Source organism: Homo sapiens, chromosome 10, assembly GCF_000001405.40.
Source record: "Homo sapiens chromosome 10, GRCh38.p14 Primary Assembly".
Taxonomy (NCBI): domain Eukaryota; kingdom Metazoa; phylum Chordata; class Mammalia; order Primates; family Hominidae; genus Homo; species Homo sapiens.
The window spans coordinates 44,145,171-44,172,515 of NC_000010.11; the positions used below are offsets into that span (position 1 = coordinate 44,145,171).

The window sequence follows — 27,345 nt, forward strand, 5'->3', positions numbered from 1 at the left end:
CTCAGAAATAACACCACACATCTACAACCATCTGATCTTTTTCACACACACACACACACACACACACACACACACTTGGCAGGAGCGGACATTCAAAAACATATTCTGATGTTGACTGATAGTATTATTTAATGTAATAACTAACAGAGAATGATTTCACTTACTGATTGTCTACTATATCCCTGTTACTTTACTAATATTATCTCCCCTCCTCACAAAAGCTTTTAAGTGTTATTGTCCATTTTACTGCAGACTAAACTACTTAAAAGAAGTTGGGTAACTTACTAGAAACCACACACCAGAAAAAAGGCAGAATTGAGATTTAACTCTGAATGTTTCTTTCTCTAAAACTTTTACCCTTTTCACATCAGAGAACTTCTTTTTAATTGTTGACCCCGGAGAAAATTGCAGTTCTCTCTTTCAGCTTCCTGCCATACCTGAGCATCCGTAAGTCAGCTAAATTGAACTCTATGATTAATGAAACATTGGCATTTAACTCCATCAGAGGTCCTGCTTAGTTGCACAGGTGTCTGTCTCCTCTGTAAAGACTGTTTGCATTCAGGCCAGGGGTGGTGGCTCACCCCTGTAATACCAGCACTTTGGGAGGCCGAAGCAGACGGATCACAAGGACAGGAGATCGAGACCATTCTGGCTAACACAGTGAAACCCTGTCTGTACTAAAAAATACAAAAAATTAGTCGGGCATCCTGGCAGGCGCCTGTAGTCCCAGTTACTCCGGAGGCTGAGGCAGGAGAATGGCATGAACCCGGGAGTTGGAGCTTGCGGTGAGCGGAGATCGTACCACTGCCCTTCAGCCTGGGGTCCAGAGGGAAACCCCATCTCAAAAAAAAAAAAAAAAAAAAAAAAGACTGCTGGCTTTCAGAGAAAACTTGATTCCTCATAGCTCATTCTTTTTTTAAATTTTTTTAAATTTTTAAATTTTTTATTATACTTTAAGTTCTAGGGTACATGTGCACAATGGGCAGGTTTGTTACATATGTATACATGTGCCATGTTGGTGTGCTGCACCCATTAACTCGTCATTTAGCATTAGGTATATCTCCTAATGCTATCCCTCCAACCTCCCCCAACCCCACTGCAGGCCCCAGTGTGTGATGTTCCCCTTCCTGTGTCCAGGTGTTCTCACTGTTCAATTCCCACCTATGAGTGAGCACGAGGTGTTTGGTTTTTTGTCCTTGAGATAGTTTGCTGAGAATGATGGTTCCCAGCTTCATCCATGCCCCTAAAAAGGACATGAACTCATCCTTTTTTATGGCTGCACAGTATTCCATGGTGTATATGTGCCACATTTTCTTAATCCAGTCTATCATTGTTGGACATTTGGGTTGGTTCCAAATCTTTGCTACTGTGAATAGTGCTGCAATAAACATATGTGTGCATGCGTCTTTATAGCAGCATGATTTATAATCCTTTGGGTATATACCCAGTAATGGGATGGCTGGGTCAAACGGTATTTCTAGTTCTAGATCCCTGAGGAATCGCCACACTGACTTCCACAATGGTTGAACTAGTTTACAGTCCCACCAACAGCATAAAAGTGTTCCTATTTCTCCACATCCTCTCCAGCACCTGTTGTTTCCTGACTTTTTAATGATTGCCATTCTAACTGGTGTGAGATGGTATCTCATTGTGGTTTTGATTTGCATTTCTCTGATGGCCAGTGATGATGAACATGTTTTCATGTGTTTTTTGGCTGCATAAATGTCTTCTTTTGAGAAGTGTCTGTTCATATCCTTCACCCATTTTTTGATGGGGTGGTTTGTTTTTTTCTTTTCTTTTCTTTTTTGTTGTTTTTTTGAGATGGAGTCTAGCTCTGTTGCACAGGCTGGAGTGCAGTGGCGTGATCTCTGCTCACTGCAAACTCCGCCTCCCAGGTTCATGCCATTCTCCTGCCTCAGCCTCCCGAGTAGCTGGGACTACAGTCACCCGCCACCACATCCAGCTAATTTTTTTGTATTTTTAGTAGAGACAGGGTTTCACCATGTTAGCCAGGATGGTCTCGATCTCCTGACCTTCTGATCTGCCTGCCTCAGCCTCCCAAAGTGCTGGGATTACAGGCATGAGCCATCGTGCCCAACCTGTTTTTTCTTGTAAATTTGTTTGAGTACTTTGTAGATTCTGGATATTAGCCCTTTGTCAGAGAGTAGATTTTAAAAATGTTCTCCCATTCTGTAAGTTTCCTGTTCACTCTGATGGTAGTTTCTTTTGCTGTGCAGAAGCTCTTTAGTTTAATTAGATCCCATTTGTCAATTTTGGCTTTTGTTGCCATTGTTTTAGACATGAAGTCCTTGCCCATGCCTGTGTCCTAAATGGTATTGCCTAGGTTTTCTTCTAGGGTTTTTATGGTTTTAGGTCTAACATTTAAGTCTTTAATCCATCTTAAATTAATTTTTGTATAAGGTGTAAGGAAGGGATCCAGTTTCCGCTTTCTACATATGGCTAGCCAGTTTTCCCAGCACCATTTATGAAATAGGGAATCGTTTCCCCATTGCTTGTTTTTGTCAGGTTTGTCAAATATCAGATAGTTGTAGATATGCAGCATTATTTCTGAGGGCTCTGTTCTGTTCCATTGGTCTATATCTCTGTTTTGGTACCAGTATCATGCTGTTTGGGTTACTGTAGCCTTGTAATATAGTTTGAAGTCAGGTAGCGTGATGCCTCCAGCTTTGTTCTTTTGGCTTACGATTGACTTGGTGATGTGGGCTCTTTTTTGCTTCCATATGAACTTTAAAGTAGTTTTTCCAATTCTGTGAAGAAAGTCATTGGTAGCTTGATGGGGATGGTATTGAATCTATAAATTACCTTAGGCAGTATGGCCATTTTCACGATATTGATTCTTCCTACCCATGAGTATGGAATGTTCTTCCATTTGTTTGTATCCTCTTTTATTTCATTGAGCAGTGGTTTGTAGTTCTCCTTGAAGAGGTCCTTCACATCCCTTGTAAGTTGGATTCCTAGGTATTTTATTCTCTTTGAAGCAATTGTGAATGGGAGTTCACTCATGATTTGGCTCTCTGTCTGTTTTTTGTGTATAAGAATGCTTGTGATTTTTGTACATTGATTTTGTATCCTGAGAGTGCTGAAGTTGCTTATCAGCTTGAGGAGATTTTGGGCTGAGACGATGGGGTTTTCTAGATATGCAATCATGTCATCTGCAAACAGGGACAATTTGACTTCCCCTTTACCTAATTGAATACCCTTTATTTCCTTCTCCTGCCTGATTGCCCTGGACAGAACTTCTAACACTATGTTGAATAGCAGTGGTGAGAGAGGGCATCCCTGTCTTGTGCCCATTTTCAAAGGGAATGCTTCCAGTTTTTGCCCATTCAGTATGATATTGGCTGTGGGTTTGTCATAGATAGCTCTTATTATTTTGAGATACATCCCATCAATACCTAATTTACTGAGAGTTTTTAGCATGAAGGGCTGTTGAATTTTGTCAAGGGCTTTTTCTGCCTCTATTGAGATAATCATGTGGTTTTTGTCTTTGGTTCTGTTTATATGCTGGATTACATTTATTGATTTGTGTATGTTGAACCAGCCTTGCATACCAGAGATGAAGCCCACTTGAACATGGTGGATAAGCTTTTTGATATGCTGCTGGATTCGGTTTGCCAGTATTTTATTGAGGATTTTTGCATCGATGTTCATCAGGGGTATTGGTCTAAAATTCTCTTTTTTTGTTGTGTCTCTGCCAGGCTTTGGTATCAGGATGATGCTGGCCTCATAAAATGAGTTAGGGAGGATTCTCTCTTTTTCTGTTTATTGGAATAGTTTCAGAAGGAATGGTACCAGCTCTTCCTTGTACCTCTGGTAGAATTCTGCTGCAAATCCGTCTGGTCCTCGACTTTTTTTGGTTGGTAGGGTATTAATTGTTGCCTAAATTTCAGATCCTGTTATTGGTCTATTCAGAGATTCAACTTCTTCCTGGTTTAGTCTTGGGAGGGTGTATATGTCCAGGAATTTATCTATTTCTTGTAGATTTTCTAGTTTATTTGCATAGGGGTGTTTACAGTATTCTCTGATGGTAGTTTGTATTGCTGTGGGATTGGCGGTGATATCCCCTTTATCATTTTTTTTTGCATCTATTTGATTCTTCTCTCTTTTCTTCTTTATTAGTCTTGCTAGCGGGTGTATCAATTTTGTTGATTTTTTCAAAAAACCAGCTCCTGGATTCATTGATTTTTTGAAGGGTTTTTTGTGTCTCTGTCTCCTTCAGTTCTGCTCTGATCTTAGTTATCTCTTGCCTTCTACTAGCTTTTGAATGTGTTTGCTCTTGCTTCTCTAGTTCTTTTAATTATGATGTTATGGTGTCAATTTTAGATCTTTCCTGCTTTCTCTTGTGGGCATTTAGTGCTATAAATTTCCCTCTACACACTGCTTTATGTGTCCCAGAGATTCTGGTATGTTGTGTCTTTGTTCTCATTCGCTTCAAAGAACATCTTTATTTCTGCCTTCATTTTGTTATTTACCCAGTAGTCACGCAGGAGCAGGTTGTTCAGTTTCCATGTAGTTGAGTGGTTTTGAGTGAGTTTCTTAATCCTGAGTTCTAGTTTGTTTGCACTGTGGTCTGAGAGACAGTTTGTTATCATTTCTGTTCTTTTACATTTGCTGAGGAGTGCTTTACTTCCAACTATGTGGTCAATTTTTGAATTCGTGTGATGTGGTGCTGAAAAGAATGTATATTCTGTTGACTTGGGGTGGAGAGTTCTGTAGATATCTAATAGGTCCGCTTGGTGCAGAGCTGAGTTCAATTCCTGGATATCCTTGTTAACTTTCTGTCTCATTGATCTGTCTAATGTTGACAGTCGGGTGTTAAAGTCTCCCAGTATTATTGTGTGGGAGTCTAAGTCTCTTTGTAGGTCTCTAAGGACTTGCTTTATGAATCCGGTTGCTCCTGTATTGGGTGCATATATATTTAGGATAGTTAGCTCTTCTTGCATTGATCCCTTTACCATTATGTAATGGCCTTCTTTGTCTCTTTTGATCTTTGTTGGTTTAAAGTCTATTTTATCAGAGACTAGGATTGCAACCTCTGCTTTTTTTTTGTTTTCTATTTGCTTGGCAGATCTTCCTCCATCCCTTTATTTTCAGCCTGTATGTGTCTCTGCGTGTGAGATGGGTCTCCTGAATACAGCACACTGATGGGTCTTGACTCTTTATCCAATTTGCCAGTCTGTGTCTTTTAATTGGAGCATTTAGCCCATTTACATTTAAGGTTAATATTGTTATGTGTGAATTTTATCCTGTCATTATGATCTTAGCTGGTTATTTTGCTCGTTAGTTGATGCAGTTTCTTCCTAGCATCGATGGTCTTTACAACTTGGCATGTTTTTGCAGTGGCTGGTACTGATTTTTCCTTTCCATGTTTAGTGCTTCCTTCAGGAGCTCTTTTAGGGAAGGCCTGATGGTGACAAAATCTCTCAGCATTTGCTTGACTGTAAAGGATTTTATTTCTCCTTCATGTAGGAAGTTTAGTTTGGCTGGACATGAAATTCTGGGTTGAAAATTCTTTTCTTTAAGAATGTTGAATATTGGTCTCCACTCTCTTCTGGCTTGTAGAGTTTCTGCCGAGAGATCCCCTGTTAGTCTGATGGGCTTCCCTTTGTGGGTAACCCAACCTTTCTCTCTGGCTGCTCTTAACATTTTTGCCTTCATTTCAACTTTGGTGAATCTGACAATTATGTGTCTTGGAGTTGCTCTTCTTGAGGAGTATCTTTGTGGCATTCTCTGTATTTCCTGAATTTGAACGTTGGCCTGCCTTGCTAGATTGGGGAAGTTCTCCTGGATAATACCCTGCAGAGTGTTTTCCAACTTGGTTCTAGTCTCCCCATCACTTTCATGTACACCAATCAAATGTAGATTTGGTCTTTTCCCATAGTCCCATATTTGTTGGAGGCTTTGTTCGTTTCTTTTTACTCTTTTTTTCTCTAAACTTCTCTTCTCACTTCATTTCATTCATTTGATCTTCAATCACTGATGCCCTTTCTTCCAGTTGATCGAATTGGCTACTGAAGGTTGTGCATTCATCATGTGGTTCTCATGCCACAGTTTTCAGCTCCATCAGGTCATTTAAGGACTTCTCTACACTGGTTATTCTAGTTAGCCGTTTGTCTATTCTTTTTTCAAGGTTTTAGCTTCTTTACGATGAGTTCAAACTTCCTCCTTTAGCTCAGAGAAGTTTGATAGTCTGAAGCCTTCTTCTCTCAACTCATCAAAGTCATTCTCCGTCCAGCTTCATTTCATTGCTGGTAAGGAGCTGCGTTCCTTTGGAGGAAGAGAGGCGCTCTGAGTTTTAGAATTTTCAGCTATTCTGCTCTGTTTTTCCCCCATCTTTGTGGTTTTATCTAACTTTGGTCTTTGATGATGGTGACATACAGATGGGGTTTTGGTGTGGATGTCCTTTGTGTTTGTTTTCCTTCTAACAGTCAAGACCCTCACCTGCAGGTCTGTTGGAGTTTGCTGGAGGTCCACTCTGACCCTGTTTGCCTGGTTATCAGCAGCGGAGGCTGCAGAAGAGCGAATATTGCTGAACAGCAAATGTTGCTGCCTGATTGTTCCTCTGGAAGCTTCATCTCAGAGGGGTACCCAGCTGTGTGAGGTGTCAGTCTGCCCCTACTGGGGGGTGCCTCCCAGTAAGGCTACTCGGTGGTCAGGGACCCTCTTGAGAAGGCATCCTGTCTGTTCTCAGATCTCAAACTCCGTGCTGGGAGAACCACTACTCTTTTCAAAGGTGTCAGACAGTGACATTTAAGTCTGCAGAGGTTTCTGCTGCCTTTTGTTTGGCTATGCCCTGCCCCCAGAGGTGGAGCCTACAGAGGCAGGCAGGCCTCCTTGAGCTGTGGTGGGCTCCACCGAGTTTGAGCTTCCCGGCTGCTTTGTTTACCTACTCAAGCCTCAGCAATTGCAGGCGCCCCACCCCAGCCTCACTGCCGCCTTGCAGTTCAATCTCAGACTGCTGTGCAAGCAATGAGCGAGGCTCCATGTGTGTGGGATCCTCCGAGCCAGGCAAAGGATATAATCTCCTGGTGTGCTGTTTGCTCAGTTGGAAATGCAGAAATCACCCATCTTCTGCATCGCTCATGCTGGGAGCTGTAGACTGCAGCTCTTCCTATTCAGCCATCTTGGAACCACCCCAACCACCATCTGATCTTTGACAAACCCGACAAAAACAATAAATGGAGAAAAGATCTCCTATTCAGTAAGTGGTGCTGAGAAAACTTGCTAGCTATATTCAGAAAACTGAAACTGGACCCCTTCCTTACACCTCATACCAAAATTAACTCAAGATGGATTAAAGACTTAAATGTAAAATCCAAAAATCATAAAAACCCTGGAAGAAAACCTAGGCAATACTATTCAGGACATAAGCATCGGCAAAGGCTTCATGATGAAAACACCAAAAACAATGGCAACAAAAGCCAAAATTGACAAATGGGATCTAATTAAACTAAAGAGCTTCTGCACAGCAAAGGAAACTGTCATCAGAGTGAAGAGGCAACCTGCAGAATGGGAGAAAATTTTTGCAATCTACCTGTCTGGCAAAGGCCTAATATCCAAAATCTACAAGGAACTTAAATAAATTTACCAGGAAAAAATCAAACAACCCCATCAAAAAGTGGGCAAAGGATATGAACAGACACTTCTCAAAAGACTTTTATGCAGCCAACAAACGTATGTAAAAAACCTCAACATCACTGTTCATTAAAGAAATTCAAATCAAAACCACAATGAGATACCATCTCACACCAGTCAGAAAGGTGATTAGTAAAAAGTCAAAAAGCAATAGATGCTGGCGAGGCTGTGGAGAAACAGGAACACTTTTACATGGTTGGTGAAAATGTAAATTAGTTCAACCCTTGTGGAAGACAGTGTCGTGATTTCTCAAGGATCTAGAACCAGAAATACCATTTGACCCCGCAATCCCATTACTGGGTATATACCCAAAGGATTATAAATCATTCTACTATAAAGACACATGCACATGTATGTTTATTGCAGCACTATTTACAACAGGAAAGACATGGAACCAATCCAAACGTCCATCAATGATAGACTGGAAAAAGAAACTGTGGTACAAATACACCATGGAATACTATGTAGCCATAAAAAGAATGAGATTATGTCCTTTGCAGGGACGTGGATGAAACTGAAAGCCACCATCCTCAGCAAACTAACACAGGAACAGAAAACCAAACACTGTATGCTGTCACTCAAGTGGGAGTTGAACAATAAGAACACATGAACACAGGGAGGGGAACAACACACACTGGGGCCAGTCTGGGAGTGGGGGGCGAGAGGAGGGAGAGCATTAGGATGAATACCTAATGCACATGAAACTTAAAACTTAGATGACGGGTTGAGAGGTGCAGCAAACCAACATGACATACGTATACCTGTGTGAGAAATCTACATATTCTGCACTTGTATCCCAGAACTTAAAGTTAAAAAAAAATGTACAGGTTAAAACACAGAGGACTACAGTGAAAATCATTATAGTTTATATAGTTATCAGAATATTTTTCTAAGTGAATTTGTGCCATAGTGATAAGTGTGCTTAATTGATGCCTTGAATAACAAGACCTAATAGTAGGTCTAATAAGTTCTGTAATTTTCAAGTAGTAATGAGCATAAACATTATTCTGAGATACGTACAACAAGGTAATGTGATTTCAGTATACCAATACTTCCCATTGGTGACAATGTCAAAAAAAAAAAAAAAGAAATTTCAGCTCTGACATTTTCTTCTTGTTTGCTTGGTATCTCGAAAGCACAGGGTTTTTCTTCATGTAAGCATTAGTTCGTTAAAAACCAGATAATTTAATTTGTAATTCTACTTGCCAGGAAATATTGTGAAAGACTTTGAAATAGGCAAGAAAAGATTATTGAGTGTCTTGCCTATGCAACATTTTATTACCATCGCACTATTTTACAACTCTGTGAGTCATAAAAAGTTGGTAAGGATGAAAGTCTCCATTTCATAGAAATGCAAATGATTATGTACAGTAAAATGTAATTGATTATTGCCCTGTGGACAAGGGCTTCATCTATTGTTCATTTGTTTCATCAAATTATGCTGATGGTTTATATGTGTGTGTTTTTTGTATTCTCCTTTGAATTAGTTCTATCATCTCACTTATGGTCCTCATTAAATTATAAGTTAAATAAAAGCTTTGACATGTGGTTGTTGTTTATTTTTATGAAAGTAATGAGTTTATCCTTTAAAAAACACCCAAAACACCCTGAATGAAGTGCACACAAGGTCAATGCAAGACAATTGCTTGGAGGATGTGAGCAGATGAGAGCACTGTGGTTATGCTCTCTGCATTGTGGAGCTCCTCCCAGTCTTTCCCCAGCAGGCCCTGTACATGGCACACATGGCACCTGACACATGCCTACCATAATGTGGGTGGGCCTCATCTGATCGGCTGAAGACCTGAGAAGAACAAAAAGCGTTTCCAAGCAAGAAGGGATTCTCCAGCTGATGGCCTAACAGGCTGAGAGGGCTGCCATGTCAATTTATTAAACATTAGTGAACTTTTATTTCTTTCTTAAAAAAAGAAAAGGCATAGTTTTATTTTCCTTGGTGGAGAATCTTGTGTACTCTCCCTTGGAGATGACTTCACTAGAACAGGGGTCCAAGGAACCTTTTACATTAGCTTTTATTTAAAAATCTGCAGAGTAAATATTTTTAGAGGACACATCACTAGCCGGCCCTAAAGCTGTACTTGATTTGAAGAGTACATGGCCTGTAGGTCAAGGTACTGATGAAGGCTTCAGAGATATAAGACAGTAAAGCATGAAGGTAAGGAAGAATCTACCATAAGAGTTTGGGTATTTAGAGTTCCACTGTTACCAGAGGTCATGGTGAAAAGTCTATAAAGCCTTCAAGTTTGGGTTGCAGTGATTTTATGTTGTGGTTTGACATTCATGCCATAATTTATAAACACTCACACAAGATATTTGTGTGACAGTTATGACTAGTGATAACATAAAAAGTAGCCGAGTGCATTTCTATATTTAGAATACCCAAGCCCTGCAGACTTCTCTATGTCCAAAAAAATCCCTAAATAATAGCATATCTTTGAAAAGCCAAGAAACCCCAGCGAATCTCTCAACTGACCAAACAAAGCCAGAGGAGGGGTGGGTGGGGTGGGGAAATGGGCATTGGTGGTAGAAAAAAACAATAATGAAACTACCAGGAAAATTCAAAGTAGAAACGAAAATTCACTCTTCAAGGTAACTGAGGGCGGAGTTTTGGTCTTTGAGAGATGATAAAGACTTTTTTCTTCCTGTTCCTTCTTGCTAAGCACCACTATAAACCCTGGACATGGCCGAAGAGACAAGCTGATGAGGACTCTGAAAGATAGTGGATAGAAGGCCCCGAGCTGTGTGGGCCTAGGCCTGGAGGCAGCACTGCACAGGGCACCCTGCAACCCTCACTGAACACTAGAAGGCCACCCAGATGCCATGTTCCCAGACGCACAGAAGGATCTTTCTTAGATCCAATGGAAGTCCCTCCAGCACAGTGGTCCCCAACCTTCTTTGCACCAGGGACCAGTTTCATGGAAGACAATTTTTCCATGGACTGTGGAGGTGGGAAATGGTTTTGGGATGAAACTGTTCTACTTCAGATCATCAGGCATCAGATTTTCATAAGAAGCATACAACTTACATCCCTCACATGCACAGTTCACAATAGGGTTTGCTCTCCTGAGAATCTGATGCTGTCACTGATCTGACAGGAGGCAGAGGTCAGGTGGTAATGCTCACTTGCCCACCGCTCACCTCCTGCTGTGCAACCTGGTTCCTAATAGGCCACGGAGGACCAGTACTGGTCCATGGCCTGGGGACCCCTGCTCTACTGGACAGCTGAATCTGTGCCCACCCTTTGAGTAACCAAAGTGTAGGTGCCAGTCCTGTAAGCAAAGATACCTTCAGAATTTTTTAGCCCCAGCCATTCAAGTCTCCCTAGCTGAGGCCCTATCTGCTGTGCCTTTTCTGAATTCCTGATCTGCATCTCCTGGGAACACTTAAAATGCTGTATATTTTATGCTACTAAGCTGTGATGGGTTTGTTATATAGTAATAGGTAATCAAAATCTTTCACAGTGCTATGAGGCAGGTACTACTATTATCCCTAACTTATGCATAAGGAAATCAAGGCTTTTAATGGTTGATTATATGCAGAAATAATAATGACTAAAGATATTTTTTGAGCCCTTCTATGTGTCAAGGACATTATGTGGATGATCTCATTTAAGTACCATGAAGCTCTGTGAAGTAAGCAATTTAAAAAAAAATGTTTAATTTGTGTGGGTACATAGTAGGTTTATATATTTATGGGGTATAGGAGAGGTGGTCACTCACCTCCTGCTGTGTGGCCTGGGAACTGGGGACCCCTGCTCTAGTAATATCAGGCAAATATGATGCTGCTGATGAGGAAGATTGACCTGGATCCCTGAATAAATTAGCAGCCAGGGAGGCCCTCTCCTTTCCTGTCAGGCCCGAGGCTCCCTTCACCAGAGGCCCTGAGGCTGCTGGAGGGCAAAACTGTTGAGAGAGTCCTGGCTACACCAGGCAGCTTGCTCAACAAGCCCCTTTATCCCTGTAGGAGGAGACCCCTTCCCCACCCGGAGACATGGACTTGACAGATTACACTGGAGAAAGGTACCCAGGCACAGCAGATCTCTGGTTCAGAAAACCTTCTTATCTCTGAGAACCTGAGAGTGTCAGCCTCCTGCACCCAGAGACAGCAAGGGACCCTGGCATAGTAAGCTGCCTGGCCCAGGAAGCCCCTCTGTTCTGCAGGCCTGAGACTATCTTCTCCCTGCCAGAAATAGCTGTGGAAGCAACAACAGAGGGATCCTACCACACTCTGCCTCCCAAAAGACCCCCAGGGGCTGGCGTGGGGAAACCCCTCCCACCTTCTCAGGCAGTATCTATAGGGAACAGCAAGATCCTGGGGGGGCTCCAGATAACCAAGCAGACCAAAACAGCACTCATAGGCTCTGAAAACTAAACTTCCACTGGAACTGCAGCTAATGAAAATAGGCTAGAACCTAGGTGTTAATCTAAACAAGGTGACTGCCTGCTTAAAAAAAAAAAATTTAAATAGGACCCAGAGTCTCCTGACAGACCCAATTCCAGAATACAATAAAAATATCACCCATAACACCAAGAGCCAAGAAAACGACAACTTGAATGAGAAAAGAAAAGACATCTGATACCAAGATGAACCAGATGTTGGAATTCTCTGACAAAAATTTTAAAGCAGTGAACACAAGAATGCTTCAATCATCAATGACAAATTCTCTTGAAACAAATGAAACAGTATGAAATTTCAACAAAAATAGATATTATTAAGAACCAAATGGAAATTATATAATTAAAAAGTATGATAAAACATGTAGAACTTGGTGCTGAATAGGCTCGATAGTAGAGTGGAGATGACAGAGTACAGAATCAATGAATTTGAGGACAGGACAATAGAATTTACCCAATCTGAATAACAGAGAAATACTAGGCTTATAGAAAATGAACAGAGCCTCAGGGACCTGTGGGACAATAATAAAAGGTCCAGCATTTGTATAATTGGAGTGCAAGAAGGAAAGAGAGTGGGCCTGAAAGGCTACTTGGAGAAATAATGGCCAAAAAACTTGCCAACTTTGGTGAAAGATATAATGTTACAGGTCCAAGAAGCTGTGCAAACCTGAAACAGGATAAGCATCATAATTAAACTTTGAAAAACTAAACATAAAGAAAAATCTCTTGAAAGTAGCCAAAGAAAAGCAACACATTACACATAGGGAAACACCAATTCAAATGACAGAATTCAGAAGGAAGTGCCCAATATTTTCCAAGTTCTTAAAGAAAAGAAACGTCAACCATAATAAGTTCTATATTAGCAAAACTATCCTTCAGGAATAAAAAGGAAATAAAAACACTCTTAGATGAAGAAAAACTAAAAGAAACTTATTAGTAGATCTATCTATAAAGACTAGCTAAAAGTTCCTCAAACAGAAAGAAATTGATAAAAGAAGGAATCTTGGACCCTCAGGAAGGAAGAAAAAATAGCAGAAATGGCAGAAATGTGCACACATACAATAGACTATCTTTTTCATGTGAGAATTATAAATTATATTTGATAATTAAAGCAAAAAGTATAAGTCACCATCTGCTACCCAAAATACAGTGGGAGAATGAAGGAAACTAAATGGAAGTGAGGATTCCACATGTTATTCAAAGTGGTAAGATGATAATATCAGTATATATAACAGTTATAAGTCACATACTTATCTTGTAATTCCCAGAGAAATCACTGCAAAAATTATAGCAAAGACACACTGGAAATCACTGGAAATAACTCAAGATGGAAACCCTAAAAAATGTTCAACTAACCCACAGAAGGCAAGAAAAAGGAAACAAGTAGCTGAGGAAACAAATAGAAAACAAAAATAAAATGGCACACTTAAATATTAAATATTAATAACATCTTAAATATAAATGGTCTAATTCATAATCAAAAGTCAGAGTTTGCCAGAGTGGAGCAAAAATGTCATTCAACTACACTACTTAATAGAAACTCACTTAAAATTCCATGACATGAGTAGGTTGAAAATAACGGGATAAAAAATATATCATGGAAATATTAATTTTTTAAAAAACAGAAGTAGCTATATTAATATCTGATATTAACATAACCACTTATAGCCTTCAGAGAAAAAAAATTACTAAAGGCAGAGACATCACATAATGAGAAATGATTAATCTATCAGGGAGACCTGACAATCCTAAGTATGCATGTGTTGAACAACAAAGTCCCAAAATATATGAAACAAAAACTGACAGAGCTTAAAGGGGAAATAAGCACATTCACATTTATAGTCAAGTACTTTAATATCTCCCTCTCAGCAAGACAGAAAATCAGTCAGTGTAGGGAAGAGCTGAACAACTCAATCGACAGGACCCAACTGACACACACAGAACACTCCACCCAACAGTAGCAGCATACACAAGTTTTCAAGGGCCTATGAAATAGTTACCAAGGTATATCATATCCTGACCCACAAAACAAACCTCAACAAATTTAAAAGAAAGAAAATCAGAGAGTGTGTTGTCTGATGATAATGAAATCAAACTAGAAATAAATATCAGAAAGACAATAGGAAAATCTCTAAACATAAAAATTAAATAACACATTCCTAAATAATCACATAGGTTAAAGAAGTCTCAAAGAGAATAAAAATACACGCAACCAAATAAAAATGAAAACACAACATAGTAAACTATGTGGGATACAGCCAAAGCATTGCTGAGAGTGAAGTTTATAGCACTAAAATGTTCATATTAGAAATGAAGAAAATCTCATACCTAAGTTCCCATCTCAAGAAAATAGATAAAGAAGAAAAAAATCAGTCCAAAGCAAGTAAAAATAAAGAAATAATAAAAATCAAAGCAGAACTCAATGAAATTTAAATTTAAAAAATAGAGAATATCAATGAAATAAAAAGGTAGTTCTTTAAAGAAATTAATAAAGTAAATAGACCCCCAGCAGTATTGACAAAAATAAAAAGAGAGAAGACACAAATCACCAATATCAGGAAAAAACTGGGAATATTTCTATATCCTTCAATTGCCGGAAAGACAGTAAAGTAATACTACAAATAATTTTACACTTATATATATGATAACTTTCAAGAAATAAACAAAATTTTCAAAAACCACTAACTACCAAAACATGTAAAAAGTTTTTAGGATCCTTTTTATAATTCTACACCTTGACCAAGTTGGATATGCCCAAGAATGTTTAACATTAACAAAATCAACCAATGTAATTCATCATATCAATAAGTTAAAGAAGAAAAGTTATATGACCACATCAAATGATGGAGATAATAATAGTATGTGCCTCATTAGATAATTTTGAAAATCAAATAAGATTATGAATGTGCCTAGCACATAGTGAGGGCTTAATAAATATATGTTAGGTAATTTTATTTACCCTCTAGTACAACTCTGATATGGGCCTGATTGTGTTCTCCAGTGAGAGGGAGGCTTGAGTAAGAAGATACGTCAAAGAGATGTGTTCACGCAGAAATCTCTGAGAGGGGAAAAGTAAAGCCACCATGAAACTCCCAACTCTCACCAGTTTCTTGGGGCGTCCAGAGGGCATACAGTCCAGTTTGCCCCTCTGGCCCATCTGCAGCATATCAGTAAGATGCACAGTGATAGTATCCAGCATGAAAAAAAATGAGAGCTTCACCATAGCAGAGGAAGTTCATGAAGATTCAGAAGCAATAAAAACAGTAATCTTGGCAGAGTCATTTAACACCATCCATCTTCTTAGGAACAAAATTTGTATTGATAGTTGTAAGGAAGGTTTTGGGGCCTTGAAGAAAGACCTCACCAGAGAAAGCTGCAACAGTTCAAAAGAGTAAAAATACCAAGCACTATGTTGGCACCCAAGGGATGTGCTAAAGCCATATTTCAGACACCCAGACACCCACAGAGATGTTTAGGAATGGGTTCAGGGGATTTGCAGCTGGAGATAGGAACCAGACACAAAGAGAAATTATTTGTTTTTATAAATGCAGACCCAATTTTACACCAGGCTGAACTGGCCTGAAGAACTGCAGGTGACACTTGGATTTGGTAATGCAGAACTGTGTAGAAAAAGCAAACTGTTTTTCTCTGCTTTCACACAACAACAAGCAACACAGAAGACTTCTGTGGTCAATGTCAAGGGATTTCTCTCCACCAACAAGCAAGCAATCAGTTCTGCTGTGGATACCCACTGGGACCTATTCAATTCAGTTCTGACACTTGAGATATCTACTAATATCTACCTGGAGATAGTGTCAGATCCCACAGATTGAAGGCTTAGTCCCACAAGACTGCCCCCACTGCAGCTGCCAGTCAGAAGTCTGGGCCTCTGGAACTTTTGATGGAACCAGTTCAAGTTAGGTTTCCTACTACTCCCTCTTTAGGTTCAATTAATTTGCTAGACCAACTCACAAAACACAGCAAAACTCATTTAACAATTCATTATAAAAGATATTTTAAAGGATTCAAATAAGCACCCAGATGAAGGGATACACAGGACAGAGAGAGATTCTGTTTTCTGAGGCTGCTTCTGAGGCCTGAAGTGCCCCAACAATATAACAAAAGACTGTCTTTGGCCTTTATCACTCTGAAGCTGTTCCAAAGCTGCTTCAGTAAACAAGGACAAAAGGCCAAATGCTTTAACAAGAGATAGAGAGATACACTTATTGTTCTAGTCACTTGGGAAAAAACAAGGGCTATGTGAGTTATGAACCAGAAATTGTGGAAGAATATATATGTCTAAATAATCACAGGAACTAACCTGTTTCTTTTCCACTTTTCTGGTCACTTCTGTTTCTGTGAGCTTCTCTTCTTACAGGCCTTCTTCATTACCCTTTTCTTCATATACACTTTCCACCAGGGCAACTGAATCGCCTTCTTCATTTCATTGTGAGACTTTCTTTCGCTATCAAAATCAACTGATTTTTGTATTCCGATCTCAAATCCTGTAACTGCTGAATTTGTCTATCAATTCTAATAGTTTTTGTGTGGAATTCTTCATATGTTATGTTTACAAGATCATGCCATCTGCAAATGTAGATATTTTCACTTCTTCCTTTCCAATCTGGATGTATTTTCTTTCATTTTTCCTAATTGCCATGGCTGGAACCTCCAGTACAATGTTATAGAAGTGAGAAAAAATATCTTAGTCCTACTTCTGATCTTAGATAAAATTGTCTAGTCTTTCACCATTAAGTATGATTTTAGCTGTGGGTTTTGCCTCGACACCCTTTATCAGAAAGAGGAACTACCCTTCTTTTCCCAATTTGGTGTTTTGTTTTATCACGAAAGGGGCTTTAATTTTGTCAAATGCTTTTTCTTTGTCTATTGACATAAATTATTTGGTTTTGTCCTTTATTCTAGTAATATGCATTACATTGATATGATATTTATTTCTTATGTTAAACATATGAAATAGACCTTGCATTTTATGGATAAGTCCCACTTGATTATGGTGTACAATTCCTTTTATATGTTGCTGGATTTGGCTAGCCGGTATTTTGTTAAGGATTGTTGTGCCTATATTCATAGGATATATTGGTCTATAGTTTTCTTTTCTTTTGATATCTCTGTCTGATTCTGGTATCAAGGTAATATTGGCCTCACAGAGTGAGCTGGAAAGCCTATGCTCGTCTTAGATATTTTGGAAGAGTTTATGAAGGATTGTTATTAATTCTTCTTTAGATATTTCATAAAAACTCCCCAGTGAAGACTTTTCTTGGGGGAAAACTGATTAATTACTAATTCCTTCTCTTTACATGTTAAAGAACTATTCGGATACTCTATTTCTTCTTGAGTTATTTTCAGTAGTGTGTATCTTGCTAGGATTTATTATTTTATCAAGATTATCTAATTTGTTGGCATAGAATTGTCACAGTTTAATATTTATAATATATATATTTTATTTCTGTAATGCTGACGGTGATATTCTCTCTTTCATTTCCGATATCAGTAATTTAAGTCTTTTATCTTTTGGTCAATATAACTGAGGTTTTCTCAATTGAATAGATTTTTTTCAGAGAATCAACTTGATTTCATTGATTTTTCTCTAATGATTTTCTATTCTCTTATTTATTTTCATTCTAACATTTATTATTTTCTTTCTTCTTCTGCTTTTTTGGATTCAGTTTATTCTTCTAGTTTTTTTAAGGTGGAAGATCAGGTAACTGATTTGAGATTTCTAAGATTTGCTCCAGCTACATTGCATCAGTTTTGGTGTATTGTGTTTTTACTTTCATTTATCTCAACATATTTTCTAATTTCCATTGATTCCTTCTTTGATTCATTGGTTATTTAGAAAGGTGGCATTTAATTACTACATTATTGTGAATTTGCAAAATTTCCTTCTGTTATTGATTTCTAATTTTATTTCACTGTGATTGTATAATGTCATCCTTTAGCAATTATTCAGGCTTTTTATGGCCTAACATATGGTCTATCTTGAAGAATGTTCTTGTGCTTTTGAGAAGAATGTATATTCTGCTGTTCTTGGGTGGAGTACTATGTAGATGTCTGTTATATCTAGTTGGTTTACAGTGTCATTGAGGTCTTCTATTTCTTTGTTGATCCGTTTTTTGTATCCATTATTGAAAGTGGGGTGTCAATTTTTCTAACTATTATTGTTGATTTATCTATTTCTCCTTTCAGTCCTTTTAATTTTTGCTTCATGTATCTGGGGATTCTATTGTTAGGTGAATGTATGTTTATAATTTTTATATCTTTTTGATGGATTGACACTTTTATGATTATAAAATGTCCTTGTCTTTAGCAACACTTTTTGTCTTAAAGCTTATTTTATCTGTTACCAGTGTAGCCACTTTAGCACTCTTTTGCTTATTGTTTGCATAGCATTACATTTTCCATACTTTGATTTTCAATCTTCTTGTTTTTGAACCTAAAGTACGCCTCTTCTAAATGGCATACAGTTGGCTTATGTGTTTTTTTTTAAATCTATTTTATCAATCTCTGTTTTTAATTGATATGTTCAAACCATTTATGTTTACATAATTACTGATAACTTAGGATTTTACTACTTGTGTTTTATGTCTTTTTTGTTTTTTTTTGTTTCTCTGTTCCTCTATTATTACCTTCTTTTATGTTAAGTAAACATTTCTCTCTGATGTCATTTTAAGTCTCTTGTATTTTATTTTACTATATTTCATTGAGTTATTTTCTCAAAATAGGTCAGATTAAAATTAATATGCTAACTTAAAACAATGCAGTTCGAGTTTGGGAAGATGAAATAGTTCTAGAGGTGGACGGTGGTAATAGTTGCACAATAATGCAAATATACTTAATGCCACAGAACTTAACTAATTTTAACTAATGTGATATGGCAACTCTGCAAATCAGATCGCACCCCCTCCCTTTGAGTTTGTTGTTGCCTTTTGCTATTGTTGATGTTGTTTTCCTGTTTAGCGATTTTTCTGTAAAGTATGTATTCCATGTGTGGAGACTGAAATCTCTACTCAGTTTACATAGTGGTAAACTGAAACTAAATATTGGATGTAGATTTCCTTAAATGCCTTGAATCAATTAAATCTCCCACCTTTTGCCAAAGTATGTTGAGGAATGCCTTCAAAGTTCCAGCAGTTACTGACTCTCCCTTAGCCTTCACTTTGTGATCACACAGCACCACAAGGTCAGCCAGAGGTAAGAGCTTAGGTCCCTTTCTGGTCTTTCCTGAGCATGCTGATAGCCATGTCCGTGTGCATGACCTTCTAGACTTCCAGAAATATGTCAGAGCTCTTCAAAACTACTTATGGAAATCTCATTTGCCAGATTTTCTTTAAAATTTTTTTTAAAACATGTTTCCCTTATTATTTTAAAAACATGTGTTTACCTTATCATTTTTTACTTCAGGCAGCTTGAGTGTTAATTGCAATTAATTTATTTTTTCAATAATGCCCTGGAGATAGGATTCTATTCACAGGGCTTGCCTGTGAATAGGTCACAGGCCTGAGTCAGGTCAAATGAAGACAAGCTCTGCTATTGGGACTCTCAGGTAGCTGAGAGTGGGGCTTTTGGGGAAGCTCCAAAGCCTTTCTTTCCCCTCCGTGTCTGCTAAGCTCCTGTTTTTCACACCCACCATGATCCCGAGTCTTATGGTTTTCAAAGAAACCATGGACCTGAATTTAGAAGGATGGGAATAGGACAAATTAAAATACCACAGAGCTTGTTCTTTTTCTGAGATTCAGACATTCTTTTCCTTGAGTAAATACTCCTTGGATAGTTTTAGGCTTTTGGTTAATTTCCAAAGTTCTGAAAAAGTTAATTGTGATATAGTTTGTCAATATTCTAGTTGCTTTTAGGATGATCATATTTTGGGAGAGTCTTGTTCCACCATTCTGGACACACTTCCTATGAGAGATATTAATACAATTCTCAATCCATCATGAAAATATCACAATCATTAATGTTTATGTACTTAATATGAGTTTCAAAAATACATGAAGCAAAACCGAATTAAAAGGTTTTTAGGCAAATTCACGATCATAGTTAAGGTTTTTAACGCTGTACTCTTAGTAATTGATAGAAACTAAAAGACAAAATATCATTAAGGATATTTTGAACAACTTGAAAAACACAATGAATACACTTAATTTAGTGTACTTTCATAGGATAATACGTCGAACAATTGCACCACACATACTCTTAAAGCACAGATGGAACACTCATCAAAAGAGACCATTTGTTAGGCCATAATGATAAGGAATTTATAAGAATTGAAATAATAAAATTATGTGACCATAACAGGATTCAACCAGATTTTTAAAAATTTTGGAAAACCTTCAAATACTTGATAAACAGCACACTTCTAAATAGCTCATGAATTTAAAAAGAAATAAGGGGAATTAGAAAATGCTTTACCTTTTATTACAAGGGAAATAAAATGAATCAAGACTTGTGGGATGTAACAAAAGCAATGCCTAGAGAGAAATGTATAGCTTTCACTGACTATGCTGGAAAGAAAGAAATATAAAATCAATGATCTAAACGTCTACTTTAACCAGCTAGAAAAAGGAGAAGAGCAAAGTAAAGCCCATGTGGTGGAAGGAATAAAATAACAAAAAGCAGAAATCAACGAAGTAGAAAATAGGCAGACAATAGAGAAACTTAACAAAGCCAACATTTGCCCTTTGACGAAATTAATAAAACTGATAAATTCCTGGTAAGATTTGAAAAAAAAGAAAAGAAAACACAAAATACCATTATCAGAAATAATAAAGAGCCTATCAGTATAAATCTGAAAACATCAAAAAGACAATAAGAGGACTTACTGAATAATATGAAACAATTAAATTTGACAACTTGATAAAATGGAGAAATTCTGTAAAAAAAAAAAAGTTGCCAACACTGACAAGAGACAAAGTAAGAAATCTGAATACTTACATATATAAAAGAAACTGAATTCATCATCAAAAATTTTCCTACAAAGAAATCTCTAAATCTTCTTCCACTGAGTGAGGACACAGCAAGAAGTTGGTCATCTACAACCCAGAAGACACACCTCATCAGAACCCAATCAGGCTGGCACATGGTCATGGACTTCCAGCCTCCAGAACTGTGAGAATTACATTTCCATGGCTTATAAACTACCCAGTCAATGGCGCTTTGTTAAAGGAGCCTAAGCAGACAATGACAGGCATGTGGGTTTCCACTGTCCCCCAGCTGCGGACCACTCTATGGACATTCTTGTACATGTTTTGTGCACATGTGTGTTTCTCTAGAGCAGCCTCTCAATTTTTTTTTTCTATTTCAACCCTTAGTAACAAATGCATTTTACTTTGCTATCATCCCCACAAGATGTCTGAGCCTAGATAGAGTCACTGATAAGTTCTACCAGATGTTTAAGAAAAAAATACCAATGTTACACCAACATGTTCAGAAAAGCAATGAAAGAACTCTTCCCAATTGCTGAGGCCAGTGTAACTCTGAAACCAAAACCAAACAAAGGCATTACAAGAAAAGGAAGCTACAATGTTCCTTAAGAGCATAGACACTAAATTCTTAGCAAAATTGAAGAAAATGAATCCAACAATACATAAAAATATGAACATCGTGATCAAGCAGGGTTTTTCCCAGGATTGTGTGTTGGTTTAACATTTAAAAATCATTCAGTATAATTTATCGCATTAACAGAGTAAAAGAAAAACATATAATTATCCTAATAGATGCAGTAAAAGCACTTGCCAAAATTTAACTTTACTTCTGATTCAGAAAATGGACTCTCGGCAAACTAGAAATACAAGGGAATTTCATTGATATGAAATGTGGCTAACATGATAATGGTGAAATATGTCTGCTCTCACCAGTTCTATTCAACATTGCTCAAAAGGTTCTATCCAGTGTAATGAGGTAATTAAAAAAATACTTAGCAAAAAGAATGGAAAAGGAAGGAAACTAAAACAATGCATTATTATTCATAGTAGGAAGTAAATATATATTATTTTAAAACTACATGGTCAGGTTCAGCCTTTATGGAGGAAACCTTGGAAATATCTATAAAAAATTTAAATAGCACATGTTATTTGATTTAGAAATTCCATTTCTAAGAATTCTTCCTAAAGATATACTTGCACATATGTGGGATAATGTATGTACAAAAATGTCAACGTGATCCCTCTCTCTGTGTCTCTCTCTCTCTTTCAAATCTAGTAGACATTTGGAAACAACCTAAATATTCATCACCATGGGACTGGCTATATGAGATATTCTGCAGCTGTATAAAGAATAATAATAGACACCAATATGTTCTGATATGGAACTATCTGCAAGATATTTTTGAAAGTTAAAAAAAGCCAGTTGCAAAACAGTGAACAGATCTGTCTCACTCCTTTTTGAACTACGCAAATCTAGTTCAATTTCACTAAGGGTGGTCCAAGGACTGCCTGCATCAGGACCCTCTGGGTCCTGTTAGAAACATCGATTCCCTCCCCTTCCCCCCATCCCCCATATTGTAATGCATACCAAATATTCGAGAGCCAATGAATGAATGAATGCCGATTTGCTATCAATCCCATGTTATTCCTCCTCCCACGTTGATCTGAAATGCCTCATTGTTCACAGACAACCAGGAACTACACTTTCTGTGCTTCATAGCTAATGACAATCACTACTGAGCAAGGCAGTGTGAGCCATTGGCCAAAGGGCGAGATACAAATGCCTCTGTCTTATTTCTGGCTCTGACTGTGACCGGGGAATGTGTGTCCTCCATGACATTTCTTTTTCTGTGCTTTGATTTGTGCATCTGCTCAATAGGGAAAATGATATTGCAGGAAGAAAGTACGGAGCCCAGTGAGAAATTTTCTTAGAACCCTGGGTTCAAAGTAATGGGCTAAGAACTTTCTAAGGTATTCTCATGATTGTTTCTCATGATTAAAGAAACAAATTGCCATTGATCACTTTGTAGTACTGATTAATGCACAATTTTAATTTGATTTTGCTTCATTTGTTGCCTGGGGTTTTGTTGTTTTATTTATTTTATTGTTTTATTCTTTCGCAATGGTTCCCTTTGCACTGAAAACTTACCACATATTCATCCAAATTAAACTAACCTCTGGACACATTACTAGGTACTAATTTTAGATGAGATGCTGTGCTTGGTTCTATGGGGATGCCAAGGTAAGATAGAGGCTCAGTTTACAAAAATCTTCGAACGGGAGAGAAGGTGACTGCCTAAATAAATGCAGTGTCTGACAGCTGTAAGAGCCGAGAGAGGCACAGGCAGCCTCACCTGCTGAAGTGAAGTGAAGGGCGCCAGCTCCACTGAATGGGGAGGGCAGAGGACGAGCAGAGGATGGGAGCTCAGCTTTGTGCCCAGAGGAGGCTTTGAAGAACTGGGCGTGGTGGAGGCAGCAGCAGCACTGCAGAGGCACCAAGTCAGGAAACCATGGAGCATGCGTGGGAGAGGAGCTAAAGATAAGGTGAAAAAACCAGACAGGGTTTTAGGAGGAGAGTTCTGTTGACTTATTGAAAAGTGTTTGATTAGATCTAGAACAAGTGAAACTAAGGAAAAAAAAAAACTCTTACAGCAAATGCTTCCATTGATAACACATTTGCTGCATTTTTTTCCCACACCACCGGTATGTTTAAGCCCAAAAGTGAGAAGATACACCTCCTGGATCATTGTTATGCTGTTGGCATTCAATAAGTATTTGTGAAAAAAGTAAGCCATTGGATAAACTGAAGCAGAAACTGAGGGCCAGAGAGAACTGCTGCTTAGGGTAAGATGGCGACACTCGGCGAGGCTGCCGGCATTGAATTCACCTTCCCCCAACACCGGACAGAGACGGGATGAGTGGCAGGGCCAAGTTTAAAGGGAGAAGTTTGAGCTTTGCTATATGAAATATTTGAATACAGAAGTGCAGAGGAAGGATATAACTATCTTTTTTTTTTTTTTTTAAAGATGGAGAGATGGAGTCTAGCTTTTTTCGCTCAGGCTAGGTTGCAATGGCATGATCTCGACTCACTGCAACCTCCGCCTCCCAGGTTCAAGCGATTCTTCTGCCTCAGCCTCCCGAGTAGCTGGGATTACAGGCGCTCACCACCTGTATTTTTAGTAGAGACGGGGTTTCACCATGTTGGCCAGGCTGGTCTCGAATTCCTGACCTCAGGTGATCCACCCACCTCGGCCTCCCATAGTGCTGGGATTACAGGCGTGAGCCACTGTGCCTGGCCGAAGGGTATAGAGAGCATCCCAGAGCTCTCTGGACTGCGTCGTGATGTCACTTTAGGCATTTGACGTCCCTAGGCAGAGGTCACAGAAACGCAGTCCTCTCTCGTTCTCTGTATCCTGGTGAAAAAGAAGTGAATGATATTATTTTGCCTGATTATAATAACAATGTTAGTAATTTCGCTTAACTAGGGCTTTAGGAGTTTTTAAAGTTCTTCTGTAACATTATTTCATTGATTTTCACAATTCATTCTTTGTGTGAGGCAGCAAGGGGAAGAGTTACTTTCATTTGAATTGACAATGAAGAAATGGAGGCCTAGAGGGATTTTATGGCTTTCCTAAGATCTGGCTGCCAAACAGAGGAGATGAGGCTCATCTTGGGTTTTTATTTATTCAGTAGTTAAAAGTCTAAATATCTTCTACATTGCAGGCACTTGCTGAATGCTGAATAAACCACATGTCCTAATTGAAGGCCCGCAGAGTCCATTGGGAAGGTTCTAGTTCATGCAACAGAGGATAGATCCATTGTACGGTACTTTCCAGTTATAAAAGCAGAAAAATCCTGGATAAGTGAAACCAAAATAAAGTCTTTTCAGACACAACTGAACTTAGTAGAAAGGAAGAAAAATCCCCATATTCTAGAAATGAAAAGGAAACGTAAAGCTAGAAAAGGAAGCTTGTGGTCAGATGCTTTGGCCAGCAGAGGGGCAGAATCATCTGGACAGAGAGGCTCATGGCTTGGGGCTGGGGACCAAATGCCCTTGCTGGGACGGAAGGTGGGGTCGAGGACCTGCAGAAGGCTGGAGCTGTACTGAGATATTCTATTCAGAGCTGGAACTCTGAAAGGGACATCCTTCCACGAAGCGAAGCTCAGAACAGAAGCAATGATGAAGCCACTGTCAGCCTGGAGTGTGGCGTGTGCGCACTATCAAAGCGTCAGGTGTGGGTCAGGTACAGAGGTGGTAGGGAGCACGAGCGTATATTCCCACAAGGTTTGGAAATCCCCAGAAAAGAGCATGAAATGGGACTTAGGCAGGTGCCCTGCAAAAGCAAAGGCTAAGCCACTCTTTGTGGAACTTTCCACAGTCCAGGATGCACAGAGCACCCAGAGATAAATAACTCCACTGGAACATGAACTTTAAAATAAGAATAACAAACTACACAAGAAGCTATCAACTGTGAGAAAGACTCAGCAGACACGACACACATGAAAATAGCACATAGGAACTCAAGATTATCTATCTGAAAGAAAAGTAAGTGTGCTCTAATACTTTAAAGGGAAGAGATAAAACGACTAGAAATGCAAATGGAATAATAGAGCCTGTGTGGAAAAACAAAACAAATAAGAGAAAATCAAGCAACTTGCATTCCCAGAAGAAAAAAATTGAGTAACTGACATAAACAAAAAGATAATGTACCAACAGATGGGACTTAACTGAAGACAATTGATTGCTTGAGTGATCAAACTGAAGAAACTGGAGATAGAAAATGCAAACCAAAGTTTTGGAAATATTGAGAAAAGAATAAGAAGCTCCTAACAGGGCAGGGTGTAGTGGCTCTTGCCTGTATTCACAGCACTCTGGGAAGCTGAGGTGGGAGGACTGTTTGAGCCTAGGAGCTCGAGACCACCCTAGGTAACATAGCTAGACCCCATCTCTACCAAAAAATACAGAAATTAGACTGTGTGATGACGTATGCCTGTGGTTACTTGGTAGGCAGAGGGAGGAGGATCACCTGAGCCTGGGGAGGTTGAGGCTGCAATGAGCTGTGATCGTGCCACTGCACTGCAGCCTGCAAGAGTGAGACCCTGTCTCAAAAAACAATAATAATAATAATAATAATAATAATAATAATAATAATATCTTAACAGACTAACAGGAGTCCTGAAAGTACAAAAGAGAGAGGATGCAGGAGATGCCATCTCAAAGTCATCACACTTGAGAACTTTCCAGACATGATAAAGCCTCAGTTGACATTGTATATCATGTCCCAAGAAGGGTAAAGAAAAACAAATCCACACCTATGGTCATAGTAGTTAAGCCACAGAGCGCTACAGACCAGCAGGCGTGTGACAAAGATGAGTCCTTAGAGGATTAATCGCTGACGAGGGGCACCCGAGAGGCTCCAAAGAGGGAGAGGGCAGCCACCAGGGGACGTCAGAAGCAGTGAGGTGGCCACTCCAGATGCACAATGGTGAGATGGGGAGACAGCTGGACAGGGTGCTAGAGTGAGATGAGCGCGAGAGAAGCGGCCGTGGTAGGGAAGCGGGACCTGCTCTGGGAGACTGATGTGTGCCCCTCCTGTAGGCCAAGGACAGTCACAAAAGACTTTAAGCAGAGTAGGGACTGGGTAGGATTTGCATTGTGGAAGATGCTCTGGCTGCAATGTGGTGGGTGGACAGGAAATGGGTAAGCAGGGAGGCAGGGCTGGAAGATTGTTAGCACTACCCAGGCATGAGACGGAGGCTGGGGGCCACAATGCAGGCAGCGCAAGGAGGAGGGGGCAGCGCTGGGAGGAGCTGAAAGGCATGCGGGGTGTAGGGCCTGCAGCAGGAGGGATGAGGGGCTGAGGTGACCTCCATGGGTCCCCAGATACAGGCCATGCAAGCTTCCCAATCTTAACAAAGTGGGTTTTACATGTCACTCTCTATTCACTATTCACTGCTTCACTGTCTGTCTTTTAATAGCCAACACCAAACATTATTGATTCACAATTATTAACTATTATGAATAACCTTGAAAAGCAATTCATGTTTAATTTTGGATCAGTGGTGAAATAGGACATTCTTTGCTAGGTAATGTGACATAATGGGAAGCAGAAGAATGCCTAAACTATTCATCTGCTCTATAGGGAGGTCTTTTTAGAAAGGAAGAAAACACTTCTCATAAATGTGGACAGACACAGAACATGTAAGTAATAGGGATTTGTGAGGGCTTTGGGGGAAGATGATGTTTATAATCACAGCAATTTCTCAGTATCATAAATGGATATAGCTGAAATGCCATAGGCTCCTTCAGGGCCTTAGACAGCCTGGACTGGTCTTGC

At 39.0% G+C, this 27,345-nt stretch overlaps 1 annotated feature.

Annotated features, from left to right (window-relative positions):
• Positions 23,744–24,943: an enhancer, noted in NCBI's record as "MED14-independent group 3 enhancer chr10:44664362-44665561 (GRCh37/hg19 assembly coordinates)". NCBI's record gives its function as "activates an origin of replication core promoter dependent on BRD2, BRD4, P300/CBP and CDK7 cofactors, and independent of MED14, by STARR-seq in HCT116 cells {active_cell/tissue: HCT116}" and the evidence as "EXISTENCE:reporter gene assay evidence [ECO:0000049][PMID:35650434]".